This window comes from Homo sapiens, chromosome 5, assembly GCF_000001405.40.
Source record: "Homo sapiens chromosome 5, GRCh38.p14 Primary Assembly".
NCBI classification, from domain to species: Eukaryota; Metazoa; Chordata; class Mammalia; order Primates; family Hominidae; genus Homo; species Homo sapiens.
In genome coordinates this window covers 134692480-134707006 of record NC_000005.10, presented here as the reverse complement: position 1 = coordinate 134707006, position 14527 = coordinate 134692480, and the positions used below count along the sequence as shown (strand labels likewise).

The 14527-nt window shown below is 42.0% G+C and overlaps 1 protein-coding gene and 1 pseudogene across 7 annotated transcripts in view; one reads left to right on the top strand and one right to left on the bottom strand.

Moving 5' to 3' along the window:
• Nucleotides 1-14527, bottom strand: part of SEC24A (SEC24 homolog A, COPII component) — a 79528-nt gene that overhangs the window by 20903 nt on the left and 44098 nt on the right. For 5 of the 7 annotated variants that reach the window (XM_017008961.3, XM_047416648.1, NM_021982.3 and 2 more), the window contains 6 exons: nt 14350-14405; nt 13074-13280; nt 9761-9881; nt 8950-9108; nt 3075-3248; nt 1570-1680 (listed from right to left, as the gene is read on the bottom strand). In XM_017008961.3, the coding sequence (XP_016864450.1) occupies nt 1570-1680; nt 3075-3248; nt 8950-9108; nt 9761-9881; nt 13074-13280; nt 14350-14405 (828 nt within the window). Of the gene's footprint in view, nt 1-1569; nt 1681-3074; nt 3249-8949; nt 9109-9760; nt 9882-13073; nt 13281-13310; nt 13977-14349; nt 14406-14527 lie in introns of those variants that run through there. The other 2 variants (NM_001252231.2, XM_017008963.3) reach the window with 1 other exon arrangement.
• RNU6-1164P (RNA, U6 small nuclear 1164, pseudogene) lies at nt 5729-5835 on the top strand (annotated as a pseudogene).

The window sequence follows — 14527 nt, the reverse complement described above, 5'->3', positions numbered from 1 at the left end:
TAAAGTTAGCTGGTTGAGGGCCAGGCGTGGTGGCTCATGCCTGTAATCCCAGCACTTTGGGAGGCCGAGGTGGGTGGATCACGAGGTCAAGAGATTGAGACCATCCTGGCCAACATGGTGAAACCCCGTCTCTACTAAAAATACAAAAATTAGCTGGGTGTGGTGTCGTGCGCCTGTAGTCCCAGCTACTTGGGAGGCTGAGGCAGGAGAATCACTTGAACTTTGGGGTCAGAGGTTGCAGTGAGCTGAGACTGTGCCACTGCACTCCATCCTGGGAGGGTGAATGAGACTCCATCTCTAAATAACTAAATAAATGAATGAGTGAATGAATGAATGTTAGTTAGCTGGGTGTGGTGGTGTGGGCCTGTAATCCCAGCTATTCAGGAGGCTGAGGTGGGAGGATCCCTTGAGCCCAGGAGGTAAAGGCTGCAGTGAGCTAGAACCACACCATTGCACTCCACCCTGGGTGACAGAGCAAGACACTGTTTTCAAAAACAAAAGAAAGAAAATGGACCGACTGAAGTCTTCCCTCAAGTAGAAAGACCACAAGAATCAAAATGATGTTATTAAGCTGTATGTATTTGAAAAGGAACCAAAAAAATCAAGAGGACAATTGTATCTGAGATGGAAATAAATACGTGAAGATATCAGTAAGTTTCCTATTGGCTCACATGATTTGGCTGCAAACAAATGTATGGTGGTAAACTGGTTTTCAATCCCAAATTCCATGACTCTAAGTCTAATGATCTTTATGGTACACTGCTTCTCATAAAAAGAGTATTAAACAGCACTAATATTAACCATTACATAAGATATAGTTGGCCAGGCACGGTGGCTCACGCCTGTAATCCCAACACTTTGGGAGGCCAAAGCGGGTGGATTACATGAGGTCGGGAGTTCAAGACCAGCCCGACCACATGAAGAAACCCTGTCTCTACTAAAAATACAAAAATTAGCTGGGCATGGTGGCGCATGCCTGTAATCCCAGCTACTCGGGACGCTGAGGCAGGAGAATCGCTTGAACCCAGGAGATAGAGGTTGTGGTAAGCCAAGATTGCGCCATTACACTCCAGCCTGGGCAATAAGAGCGAGACTCCATCTCAAAAAAAAAAAAAAAAAGATATAGCTAAGTTCAGTGTAGACAAATATATAAATATATAGAGACAGAAAGTAGTTTAGTGGTTACTTAAGGCCAGTAAGGGAGGGAGGAAGAAGTGGGCAGTAACTGCTAATGAGCATGAGGTTCCTCTTGAGACAATAGAAATGTTATAAAATTAGATTGTGGTGATAGCTGTACAACTCTGTAAAAACACTAAAAACAAATGAATTATCAATTAAACTGGGTGAAGTGGTATGGTATGTAATTATATCTCAATAAATTTGTTTAAATAAACAAACAAAAAAGATAAGATTATCTGCAGCAGATCTTTTCAAATAGTTACTTAGCAGGCACCCAGGGGATCTAAAACATTCAAACTATAAAGCTAACTATTTAAAGGAAAACAAAACTGTTTGGATGTGCCTAATGTTATTACTTGTAAGATATTTATAACAGATAACAACTCTTACCCATATTGGCCAATAACCCTGAAATTGCTTGAACATCAGCTCCAAGAAAGACATCATTCAGAGTCGAAACTACTGGCAAACACAAAGTATGAACACGAATTCTTCTTTCGCCTTTGGGGAAAATACACAAACAACAGTGAGGGGCAACTATATAAAACAAAAGATTATGTTAAAGTCACTTGGAAAAATCACTTCTTAGCTGGGTGCAGTGGTGCATCCCTGTAGTCCCACCTACTCCAGAGGCAGAGACAGGAGGATCCCTTGAGCTCAGGAGTTTAAGTGCAGCCTGGGCAATACAGTGAGACTCCATCTCTTAAAAAAAAATAAATTAATTAAAAAAAAAAAAATATATATATATATATATATAAATATAAATATAAATAACTTCTTTTCGATTTAGAACCAGGTAGTATAGTTACATAGTAAGCAGAGACAGTATCAAACGTTTTATACTGGCCAGACACAGTGGCTCACACCTGTAATCCCAGCACCCAGCACTTTGGGAGGCTAAGGTGGGAGGATTACCTGAGGCCAGGAGTTCAAGACAGGGCTGAACAACATAGTAAGACCCTATCTCTATTAAAAATAAATAAGTACATAAATATTAAAAATTTCATCCTTTTTTTTTTTTTTTAGAAACAAGGTCTCATTCTGTTGCCCAGGCAGGACTGCAGTGGCACAATCATAACTCACTGCAGCCTCAAACTCCTGGGCTCAAACAATCCTCCCTACTCAGCCTCCCAAGTAGGTAGGACTACCAGTGTGTGCCACTATACCTGGCTAATTAAAAAAATATTTTTTTAGAGACAGTGTCTCACTATGTTGTCCAGGCTGGTCTTGAACTCCTGGCCTCAAGTGATCCTCCCTAGTCAGCCTTCCAAAGTGCTAGGTTTACAGACCACCACACCTGACCCTACTTCTTTTAATTGTTTTAACTATAAAATTCTTTTCATTCAGGTTATTACTAAATGAACAGGGATCGCATTCAAATGACAATATGCTAAATTTTTAAAAATCTCTTTTTTGAACTTTTTAGTTGGTTTACTGCTTTTGGTAATGAAAATTTTAAGGGCTGGGCGCAGTGGCTCATGCCTGTAATCCCAGCACGTTGGGAGGCAGAGGCGGGCAGATCACGAGGTCAAGAGATTCACACCATCCTGGCCAGCATGGCAAAACTCCATCTCTACTAAAATTACAAAAATTAGCTGGATGTGGTGGCGCACACCTGTACTCCCAATTACTCGGGTGGCTGAGGCAGGAGAATCACTTGAACCCAGGAGGCAGAGGTTGCAGTGAGCAGAGACTGCGCCACTGCACTCCAGCCTGGTGACAGAGTGAGACTCTGTCTCTACATAAATAAATAAATAAATAAATAAATAAATAAAAACAGCAATTTTAAGTTAGCACACATAAGATATGCTACATGTATTTTATAGCCCATTTTGACATTTGAAATCCAGACAATATTTGAACATTTGAAATCCAAAAAAAAACAAACAATTTACCTTTGCTGGATGTATACAAGAGTGCTGACTGAAAAGAAACCAACTGAGTGTCAGTAAGACTCTCTTCCACTGACATCTGTACTGCATACCCAGCGTCTGGGTTGACGTTAGGCAAAGACAGTAAGTCGGTTGACCTAACAAAGAAGTTTCCATGGAAAGTATGAATGGAAAGACCTAGAAGAGAAAAAGGTAACAAAATTATTTTTATATACCTACATACTGATATTTACATTTTATCCTAGTTACTTATCAGATTGGCAAAAAGTAAAGAAATCTAGATAATACACAGTACTTAGTGAGGTTAAGGAATAACAGATGGCTTTTGAAATGAAGGTGGGGATACTAATTTTCAAAAAACATTTTTGGGTCAGGTGCGGTAGCTCACGCCTGTAATCCCAGCACTTTGGGAGGCCAAGGTGGGTGGATCGCCTGAGGTCAGTTTGAGATCAGCCTGGCCAATAACATGGTGAAACCCTGTCTCTACCAAAAACACAAAAATTAGCCGAACATGGTGGCAGGCGCCTGCAATCCCAGCTACTCAGGAGGTTGAGGCAGGAGAATTGCTTGAACCCGGGAGGCAGAGGTTGCAGTGAGCTAAGATTGCGCCACTGCACTCCAGCCTGGGCGACAGAGCAAGACTCTGTCTCAAAAAGAAACACAAAAAACATTTTTGGACGATAATTTGGCAGTATCTATCAAAATTCTAGATACTTATTTTGACTTTAGCAATCCCATATCAAAGAATGTGTCCTACAGATATACTCATTTAAGTGCCAAATTCACACATGCAGAAAAATTTCAAGTAGACTGGTGTGTCACAGCAAAAAAAATTTAGAAATACCTTCAATGGGTATCAGTAGAAAAACTAGGCCAGGCACAATGGCTCATGCCTGTAATCCCAACACTTTCGGAGGCTGGTGCAGGCAGATCACTTGAGGTCAGGAGTTCGAGACCAGCCTTGGCAACATGGTGAAATCCTGTCTCTACTAAAAATACAAAAATTAGCCGGGCATGGTGGCACACGCCTGTAGTCCCAGCTACTCGGGAGGTTGAGGCAGGAGAATCGCTTGAACCTGAGAGGCAGAGGTTGCAGTGAGCCAAGATCGCGCCACTGCACTCCAGCCTAGGTGACAGAGTGAGACTCTGTCTCAAAAAACAACAACAACAACAACAAACAAACAAAAACTAAACTGTGATTTGTTCAGTCTGCTGAATACTAGGTAGAATAGGCAGAAGTTTAAATTAATGTGATGGATTTATATGATCTAAAATTAATGAATCTTCAAGGTTTATTGAATAAAAATACATACAATATGTCACTTATGTAAATCGACCATAAGATACATTTTCCATGGAGATGTACCTAAGTATGCAAATGTATAGGAAATTCGGTATATACCAAGTGATATATACCATTTTTAATAAGAAATTCTGATACATACCATTTTTAACTACATAAAAATGAAGTGAAAGTGTATGTGTCGCATACACATGCAAGCTGATACAGGAAGACTTTAGCTTTATCAATAATGTTTTTATTTTTTACAAGAAAAACAGATGCACATGTTGCTTGTGAAATAAAAACCAACTTAAAAACAGTAATCAGGATGAAAAAGAATGCTGGGCATGGTGGCATGTGCCTGTAATCCCAGGTATTCAGGAGGCTGAAGCAGGAAGATTGCTTAAGCCCAAGAGTTGAAAGCAAGCCTGGGCAACATAGTGAGACCCTGTCTCTTAAAAAGAAATATACAACATTAATAAAGAAAGAAAGAAAAAGGAGAATGTGTGTCTGTACGTATAAAAATAGAAAGGTTTTCAAGATATTGTGATAAAAATAAAAAAGCCAGGTATAATTCCTCACTGCTTTTATTTGAAGTTAAGGCCAAAATATATGTTTATAAATGCCATGGGAAAGTTTCTGAAGGGTATATGATTAACTGTAGAGTGGAACAGAAGTTATGCTTGAGTTCTCATTTTATATCTTTTTGTACATTATCTTTTCTGTGTTAACTTTTCTAGAGTATGTATTTGATCTGTAGTGAATTTATCATAATAAAATAAAAAGAGAAACCTAAGCAAGCTAACCACAAAGCTTTATTAAATTAAGCACTCTAGAAAGAGGGTGGTGGGCTGCAGTGGCTCACACCTGTAATCCCAGCACTTTGGGAGGACAAGGCAGGCAGATCATGAGGTCAGGAGTTCGAGACCAGCCTCACCGACATGGTGAAACTCCGTCTCTACTAAAAATACAAAAATTAGCTGGGCATGGTAGCACGTGCCTGTAATCCCAGCTACTAGGAAGGCTGAGGCAGGAGAATCACTGGACCCCGGGAGGCGAAGGTTGCAGTGAGCCGAGACTGCGCCATTACACTCCAGCCTGGACGACAGACCGAGACTCCGTCTCAAAAAAAAAAAAAAAGAGGGCAAAGGAGTTGCCTGGCATATCCCAAAGCTGTTTATGCAAAATAAGGTACATATAAAAATAGCCTCTGTCTTGACAAGTAGAAAAGGTCTTAAAAGCACATTAGGATGTACACTTCCCTTAATTTATAACAGGTATCTGCAGAAATAAACATTTTTGAGGTCTGTCAGTCTCCAATGAATGGGATCCAACAAATATACCCTTTAAAACATAAACACTAAAAAACTATTAGGTACTCACTTCGACAGCATGTATACTAAAATTAGAACCATACAGAGAAGATTAGCATGGCCCCAGTGCAAGGATGACACGTAAATTCGTGAAGTGTTCCATATTTTAATTAAAAATTATAAAATAAAAACTAGGCCAGGCATGGTAGCTCATGCCTGTAATCCCAGCACTTTGGGAGGCCGAGGCGGGTGGATCACTTGACATCAGGAGTTCGAGACCAGCCTGGCCAACATGGCGAAACACCACCTCTACTAAAAATACAGTCCAGGCGCGGTGGCTCACGCCTGTAATCCCAGCACTTTGGGAGGCCGAGGCGGATGGATCACGAGGTCAGGAGATCAAGACCATCCTGGCTAACATGGTGAAACCCTGTCTCTACCAAAAATACAAAAAATTAGCTGGGAGTGGTAGCAGGCGCCTGTAGTTCCAGCTACTTGGGAGGGTGAGGCAGGAGAATGGCGTGAACCCAGGAGGCGGAGCTTGCAGTGAGCGGAGATCGTGCCACTGAACTCCAGCCTGGACAAAAGAGCAAGATGTGGTCTCAGAAAAAAAAAAATAAAGTAAAAAAAATAAATAAATAAAAACTATTAGAATTAATAAATTCTAATTATAGTGAAGGATAGATAAGAGAGACCTTCATCTTGCTCATGGTTTGACCAACAGATTTCAATGTGTAATGGAACAGGTTAGTGGATCTTTATCTTTTTTTTTTTGTTATAGATTTCATATAAATAATTTTTCCATTGAAAAGAATATTATTATACTGGGCGTGGTGATTCACACCTGTAATCCCAGCACTTTGGGAGGCTGAGGTGTAGGATTGCTTAAGTCCAGGAGTTTGAAACCAGCCTGTGTAACAAAGTAAGACCCTGTCTCTACAGAAAAATTAAAAATTAGCTAGGCGTGGTGGCATGCGCCTGTGGTCCCAGTTATTCGGGAGGCTGAGCTAAGAGGATTGCTTGAGCCCAGGAGTTGAGGCTGCAGTGAGCTATGATCATGCCACTGCACTCCAGCCAGGGGGACAGAGCAACACTCTGTCTCCAAAAAAAGAAAAAAGAGAGAGAAGAAGAAAGAAAATTACCACTCTACACCCCATTACAGAGCAATATTTATTTAAATAAAAACTCAATCTGTGCTCCACACCCCCTTACAGAGCAATAATATTTATTTAAATAAAAACTCAATTTGTGCAGCAGCAATGGAAAAAAAAACCCACCTTAAAAAAAAAACCCACCAGGTTGATAATGTGGAGAAATGAAAAACTAAAAATAAGAGTACAGGCTGGGTGCGGTGGCTCATACCTGTAATCCCAGCATTTAGGGAGGCCAAGGTAGGCGGATCACCTGAGGTCAGGAGTTTGAGACCAGCCTGGCCAACATGGCAAAACCCCGTTTCTACTAAAAATACAAAAATTAGTCAGGCGTAGTGTCAGGCACCTGTAATCCCAGTTACTCAGGAGGCTGAGGCAGGCAGAATTGCTTGAACCTGGGAGATGGAGGTTGCAGTGAGCCTAGATCACACCATTATACTCCAGCCTGGGCGAGAGAGTGAAACTCTGGCTCAAAAAAAAAAAAAAAAAAAAAGAGAGTACAAACTAAGAGATCCCCCACTTTTGGAAATAAATAGTTGCACAGTGAAAACATACTTGATGCCACTGTACAATTAAAAAATGGATAAAATGGGCCAGGTGCGGTAGCTCATGCCTGTAATCCCAGCACTTTGGGAGGCCGAGGCGGACGGATCACCAGATCAGGAGATCGAGACCATCCTGGCTAACATGGTGAAACCCCGTCTCTACTAAAAAATACAAAAAATTAGCTGGGCATGGTGGCAGGCGCCTGTAGTCCCAGCTACTTGGGAGGCTGAGGCAGGAGAATGGCATGAACCCAGGAGGCGGAGCTTGCAGTGAGCTGAGATCGTGCCACTGCACTCCAGCCTGGACGACAGAGCGAGACAGTCCGTCTCAAAAAAAAAAAAAGGATAAAATGGTAAAGCTTATGTTATATATATTTTACAAGTAAAAAAAAAAAAGTTTAAAAGCAAGATCTGTGGCTGGGTGTGGTGGCTCATGCCTGTAATCCTAACACTTTGGGAGGCTAAGGCAGGAAGATCACGTGAGCCCACGAGCTTGCAACCAGCCTGGGCAACATAGGGAGACCCAGTCTCTACAAAATAAAAAATAAAAAATTAGCCAGGTGTGGTGGCTCACACCTGCAGTCTCAGCTACTAGGAAAGCTGAGGTGGGAGGATCACTTGAGTCAGGGAGGTGGAGACTCCAGTGAGCTGTGATTGCACCACTGCACTCCAGCCTGGGCGACAGAATGAGACTCTGTCAAAAAAGGGTCTAGGCTGTGTGCGGTCACTCACACCTGTAATCCCAGTGCCTTGGGAGGCTGAGGTGGGCAGATCATCTGAGGTCAGGAGTTTGAGACCAGCCTGGCCAACATGGTGTAACCCTGTCTCTACTAAAAATACAAAAATTAGCCGGGCATGGTGGCACGCACCTATAATCCCAGCTACTCGGGAGGCTGAAGCAGGGAGAATCACTTGAACTCGAGAGGTGGAGGTTGCAGTTAGCCAAGATTGTGTCACTGCACACCAGCCTGGGCAACAGAGCAATATACCATCTCAAAAAAAAAAAAAAAAAAACAAGACTCTATCTTCTTCTTTTTTTTTTTTTTGGAGACAGTGTTGCCCAGGCCGGAGTGCAGTGGTGTGATCTCTGCTCACTGCAACCTGACTCCCAGGCCAGGCCCCAACAATCCTCCCACCTCAGCCTCCTAAGAAGCTGGGACTACAGACGTGCACCACCACGCTCAGCTAAGTTTTTGTATTTTTCGTAGAGACATCATTTTGCAATGTTGTCCAGGCTCGTCTCTAATTCCTGGGCTCAAGCGATCCACCAGCCTTGGCCTCCCAAAGTGCTGGAATTACAGGCATGAGCCACTGTGCCCAGCCGGAGATAAGGTCTTTTTTAAAAAACTGAGATAATTCACACACCATAAAATTCTCTATTTAAAAATATATAAGTCAGTGCTTTTGAGTATATTCTCAATAGGCCCCCTTTTTTTGGTTACAGTGTTTCTTCTCTCCTCTTAATTGCATATTCCAGAGTAGGCAAAGTATCTCAGAAGGGCAATCTTATAAGACCAGATAAAAACATGTACATTTACTGAAACCAAAAATATTATTCAGTCCTACGCAAAAAAAAAATATTCCTACCTTTGGTGCACCGAATCCTCATGACTGCCTCAAAGCCAATCTTCCGAGTAAGGTATCTCTGTAGTTCCTTCTGTAATTTCTGTACTTGGACTGGGTTGTGCTGATGATGGTAAGAGGGATAGTAATAGACACTACCTGCTGAATACCGAGAAATACAACCTGGAAGAGAACACACACTGTTTTAAACTGTGCCGTTAACTATTTCTACTACACCAAAGTAACTAAAGACATTGGAATCAATCTTTCTTTAACTTTCCAAGGTAAACTACTGTCAGAAAGGAGATTTTATTCCCTTTTTTTGAGACAGAGTCCCATTCTGTCACCCAGGCTGGAGTGCAGTAGTGATACCATGGGGCTCACTGCAGCCTTGACCTCTCCACCTCAAGCACTCTTCCCACCTCAGCCTTCCAGGCAGCTGGGACCACAGGTGTGCGCCACCATGTCTGGCTAGTTTTTTATTTAAAAAAATATACATATTATTTGCAAATACAGGGTCTTCCTATGTTGCCCAGGTTGGTCTCAAACTCCTGGGCTCAAGCAATCCTCCTGCACAGGCCTCACAAATTGTTAGGATTACAGGCATGAGCCATCATACCCGGCCTGCATTCCTTTAAATAGTAGAATAGAAATTTCTCTATTACTAAATGTTTAGAGTAGAAGACTATAAGGTTTTTAATAGACTAAACTGACTGATTAACTTTCCCAAGGGCATACATATTCTTTAACTTTGTTCTATATTTAGAACACTATCATATAAGGACCATTTTGATATTCATTTAACGGAAAAAAAAAATCATTACGAAGAACTTACCCAGAGAAGCCAAATCAGAATACTGTCCACTGAGAAGGAATAAGTCAACAGCAACTTGCTGACCAGAACAGTCCAAGGCTAATTTCTTATAGAAGTCAGTGGATGGTGTCATGTGTATATCCTATTTATAATAAATTATAAAGAGACATTTTAAAAAATCATTACATTGTCATAAAATCTAAATACACATCTACATACATCATGATGTTAACAACAATTGCAATTATTTCTGGGCATTCTACAAAGTCCTTTTCCTTTGTGGTACTACTTGATTTTTCATTAAGAAGCAAGTACTGCTTAGGAATTTTCTGTAAGTTCCAGCCAGGTGTGGTGGCTCACACCTGTAATCCTAGCACTTTGGGAAGCCAAGGCGGGTGGACTGCTTGAGCCCAGGAGTTTGAGACCATCCTGGGCAACATGACTTTATTTATTTAAAAAAAAAAAAAAATGGCCGGGTGCGGTGGCTCACGCCTGTAATCCCAGCACTTTGGGAGGCCGAGGTGGGTGGATCACGAGGGCCGGAGATCGAGACCATCCTGGCTAACATGGTGAAACCCCGTCTCTACTAAAAATACAAAAAATTAGCCAGGCATGGTTGCAGGTGCCTGTAGTCCCAGCTACTCGGGAGGCTGAGGCAGGAGAATGGCATGAACCCAGGAGGCGGAGCTTGCAGTGAGCTGAGATCGCACCACTGCACTCCAGCCTGGGCAACAGAGCGAGACTCCGTCTGAAAAAATATATATATGTTTTTTAAAAATTTTCTGTAGGTTTTTTTCCCTTTATTTTTAAAAAGAAATATATCTACTATAATAATTTCATAGTTGGTAAAGATTTTTTTATTGTAACTAAAATATATTAAATGTTCAGTATGCTGGAAACTGTTCTAAACAATTCATATGTAATACTTACTTAGTCCTTTCAACTACCCTAAGAGGTAAGTGCTATCATTTTCTTTTTTTCTTTTTCTTTTTTTTTGAGATGGGAGTTTTGCTGTAGTTGCCCAGGCTGGTGTGCAATGGCATGATCTCAGCTCACCGCAACCTCTGCCTCCCGGTTTCTAGCGATTCTCCTGCCTCAGCCTCCCGAGTAGCTGGGATTACAGGCATGCACCACCATGCCCAGCTAATGTTTTTTGTATTTTTAGTAGAGACGGGATTTCATCATGTTGTTCAGGCTGGTCTCGAATTCCCAAAGTTAGATGATCCGCCTGCCTCGGCCTCCCAAAGTGCTGGGATTACAGGTGTGAGCCACCACACCTGGCCACTATCATTATTTTCTTTCTTTCTTTTTTTTTTTTTTTTTGAGACAGAGTCTCACTCTGTCACCCAGGCTGGAGTGCAGTGGCGTGATCTCAGCTCACTGCCTCCCGGGTTCAAGCAATTCTCATGCCTCAGCCTCCCAAGTAGCTGGGACTACAGGTGCACACCGCCACCCCCAGCTAATTTTTGTTTTTTGTTGTTGTTGTTTTGAGACGGAGTCTCACTCTGTCGCTCAGGCTGGAGTGCAGTGGCACAATCTCAGCTCACTGCAACCTCCCAGGTTCAAGCAATTCTCCTGCCTCAGCCTCCTGAGTAGCTGGGATTACAGGTGTGTGCCACCACGCCCGGTTAATTTTTGTATTTTTAGTAGAGACAGGGTTTCACCATGTTGGTCAGGCTAGTCTCGAACACCTGAACTCGTGATCCACCCACCTTGGCCTCCCAAAGTGCTGGAATTACAGGCGTGAGCCACCATGCCCGGCCAATTTTTGTATTTTTAATAGAGATGGGGTTTCGTCGTGTTGGCCAGGCTGGTCTCGAACTCCTGACCTCAGGTTATCCGCCTGCCTCAGCCTCCCAAAGCACTGGTCTTACAGGCATGAACCACCACACCCAGCCATCTTTTTTGTTGTTGTTGTTGTTGTTGTTTCCCAAGTTGGAGTGTAGTGGCACGATCTCACTGCAGCCTCCTGGGCTCAAGTGATCCTCTCACCTCAGCCTCCAGAGTAGCTAGGACTATAGGCTCTCAGCATCACACCTGGCTAATTTTTTTTGTATTTTTGTAGGGACAGGGTCTCACTATGTTGCCCAGATTGGTCTCAAACTCCTGAGCTCAACCGATGCTTCCATCTCAGCCTCCCAAAGGGCTGGGATTATAGGCACAAGCCACCACACTTGACCCTTTATTTTCACCTTATATATAAAGAAACAAAGGGGCAAAGAAATTAATTTTTCAAGTTCCCAAGTGTAATAAACAGTGAGACTAGGCAGTCTGACTCCAGGAATGATACCATACCCAGTATAGTACACAGGTCTCTCTTTCATAATCTTTTGGGAAATACGGGTCTCAAAAACCTTAAAGTTTATGCACACAAGGTGCACATAAGCACCTTGGCCATCAATGTACCAAATACAACTACTCTTTTTCTTTTCTTTTTTTTTTTTTTTTGAGACGGAGTTTTGCTCTTGTTGCACAGGCTGGAGTGCAATGGTGCGATCTTGGCTCACTGCAACCTCCGCCTCCCAGGTTCAAGCAATTCTCCTGCCTCAGCCTCCTGAGTAGCTGGGATTACAAGCATGTGCCACCACACCCAGCTAATTTTTTTTTTTTTTTGAGACGGAGTCTCGCTCTGTCACCCAGGCTGGAGTGCTGGAGTGCAGTGCCGCAATCTCAGCTCACTGCAAGCTCCGCCTCCCGGGTTCACGCCATTCTCCTGCCTCAGCCTCTCCAAGTAGCTGGGATTACAGCGCCCGCCACCACACCCGGCTAATTTTTTATATTTTTAGTAGAGATGGGGTTTCACCGTGGTCTCGATCTCCTGACCTCGTGATCCGCCCGCCTCAGCCTCCCAAAGTGCTGGGATTACAAGCGTGAGCCACCGCGCCCAGCCAATTTTGTATTTTTAGTAGAGATGGGGTTTCTCCATGTTGGTCAGGCTGGTCTCAAACTCCCAACCTCAGATGAACTGCCCAACTCGGCCTCCCAAGATGTTGGGATTACAGGTGTGAGCTACCACGCCCAGCCAAATAAGACTATTCTTAACTGGTCAATCAGGTTCTCTTTGTCCCTATCAAGCATATTCTGTTAGTCTCCCAGACTATCTCTCTGAAGGCAGGCTGAATTGCTAGTGGCCTGCTAAAGATACTAAAAATTAAGGAAGGGTGAATCAGGTAGAGAAAAATGTAACAAAATAAAAATGTCTACATAAAAGTTAACTTCCTTATAGTCCCTCCTCCCAACAATTGACAAATAAATTTAAAGAAAAAACAAGTTCTATGGTCACAGGGATGGAACACCAGCATAAACCTTATCAGACATTTCATGACTCTCTAACCTTAGCAGATGACCTGTGGTTTGGTTCCTCTCGTGGTTTCAGGGCTCCCACTCCAAGAGTTGGGAGTTGTGTTTGAAAGACAGACATTCGACCACCAGTTGGAGACATCAGCTTAAAGGCAGCCTGCAGTGCAGGACCCAAGGCACTCTGGGTCTCCAGAGTCTTGGTAAACATTTGTGGCAAAGTTTTCAGTAAATCTTGCACGAGCTTGTAAAACAAAGCAAGAAAACTCAAGTGTCATAATTAAAATTTTATTTCACATTAAGTCAGTATCTCATACAATAGACAAGACATTGAGTCATGATGATGGTCAGAGAATCTACAGACACTAAACAATGAAGTTGGTCAAATGACAAGAAAGCCATTTTAAGTCAACATTATAAATTGGCAAGCAAGACAAATCAAAGTTGGGCCTTACAGTTCTTGCACATGCAGTAGTCCAGCAAGACTATAAGTCCAAAATGTATCCAAAAGAACCATCACAGTTTAGAGATTTGATGTATTTTAATGCCATGAAATATGGCCTTCTCCATCACCTCTACATACTTTATTCTTGTAAGTTCCAAAGCGAGTTTAGCTCTTCCCTGTTGCAAATCTAAGATATCCAGTAACTTTGCCAACTAGTAATATCACTACAAAAGAAAAACAACTACCTTTACAGGTTAGGTTGTACAAATAGAGTTAATGGGGAAAAAAATACTTCGCACTATGGCACAGTCACCATTGCCAACAGCAGAGACCATAGACTTGCTAGTTAAAATGTTACCCCTACGGCATATATGCATGTACAGGGTAGACAACATCCCCCCTTCAGACACATTCTGTTCACCTCTCACTGTATTATCTCATGGCAATTTCCAGGCAGGTAATAAGAGTTTCTTCTGAACTGACCCCAATGACACTCTGTGAATCAGAAAAGCAAAGGGCACTGAAAGCAGCCTACCTAATGTGCTTCTATGTAGTGACCAGAAGCTTTATCTCAGCAACCCTCCCAACTTCCCAAATGGCTGACAAGACAGATTTCCTTCAAGTGTTCCTCCTTTATGGAATATGCTTATTTTCTACCCTACTACAAATAACTTGCTTCATTAGACTTAAAAATGATCAGCTCAAGGTTGAACTCAAGAGCTGTTCATCTAATTATAAGAGCAAATATAAAATGCTACACATCTTAGAAATGTCACAGAAATAATCAAAATTTTACTTAAAGTTCATTTCAAAAACATATTCCTTCAATATTTCAATTAAACATGTCAGGTAGGAAAATGTGCCTTACCTCTTTACTTTCATTTAAGTTTACTAATAAGTTCTCTGGCATAGGTATAAAAACATCTGAAAGAAGAAATACATATTTATTTTAAACAAAATGTAATAATTAAAAGTGTGCCAAATATATAACACTAATGCAATTAACCACCCCCTTCCTTAAAAATAAGCCACCTCCTCCACTATTA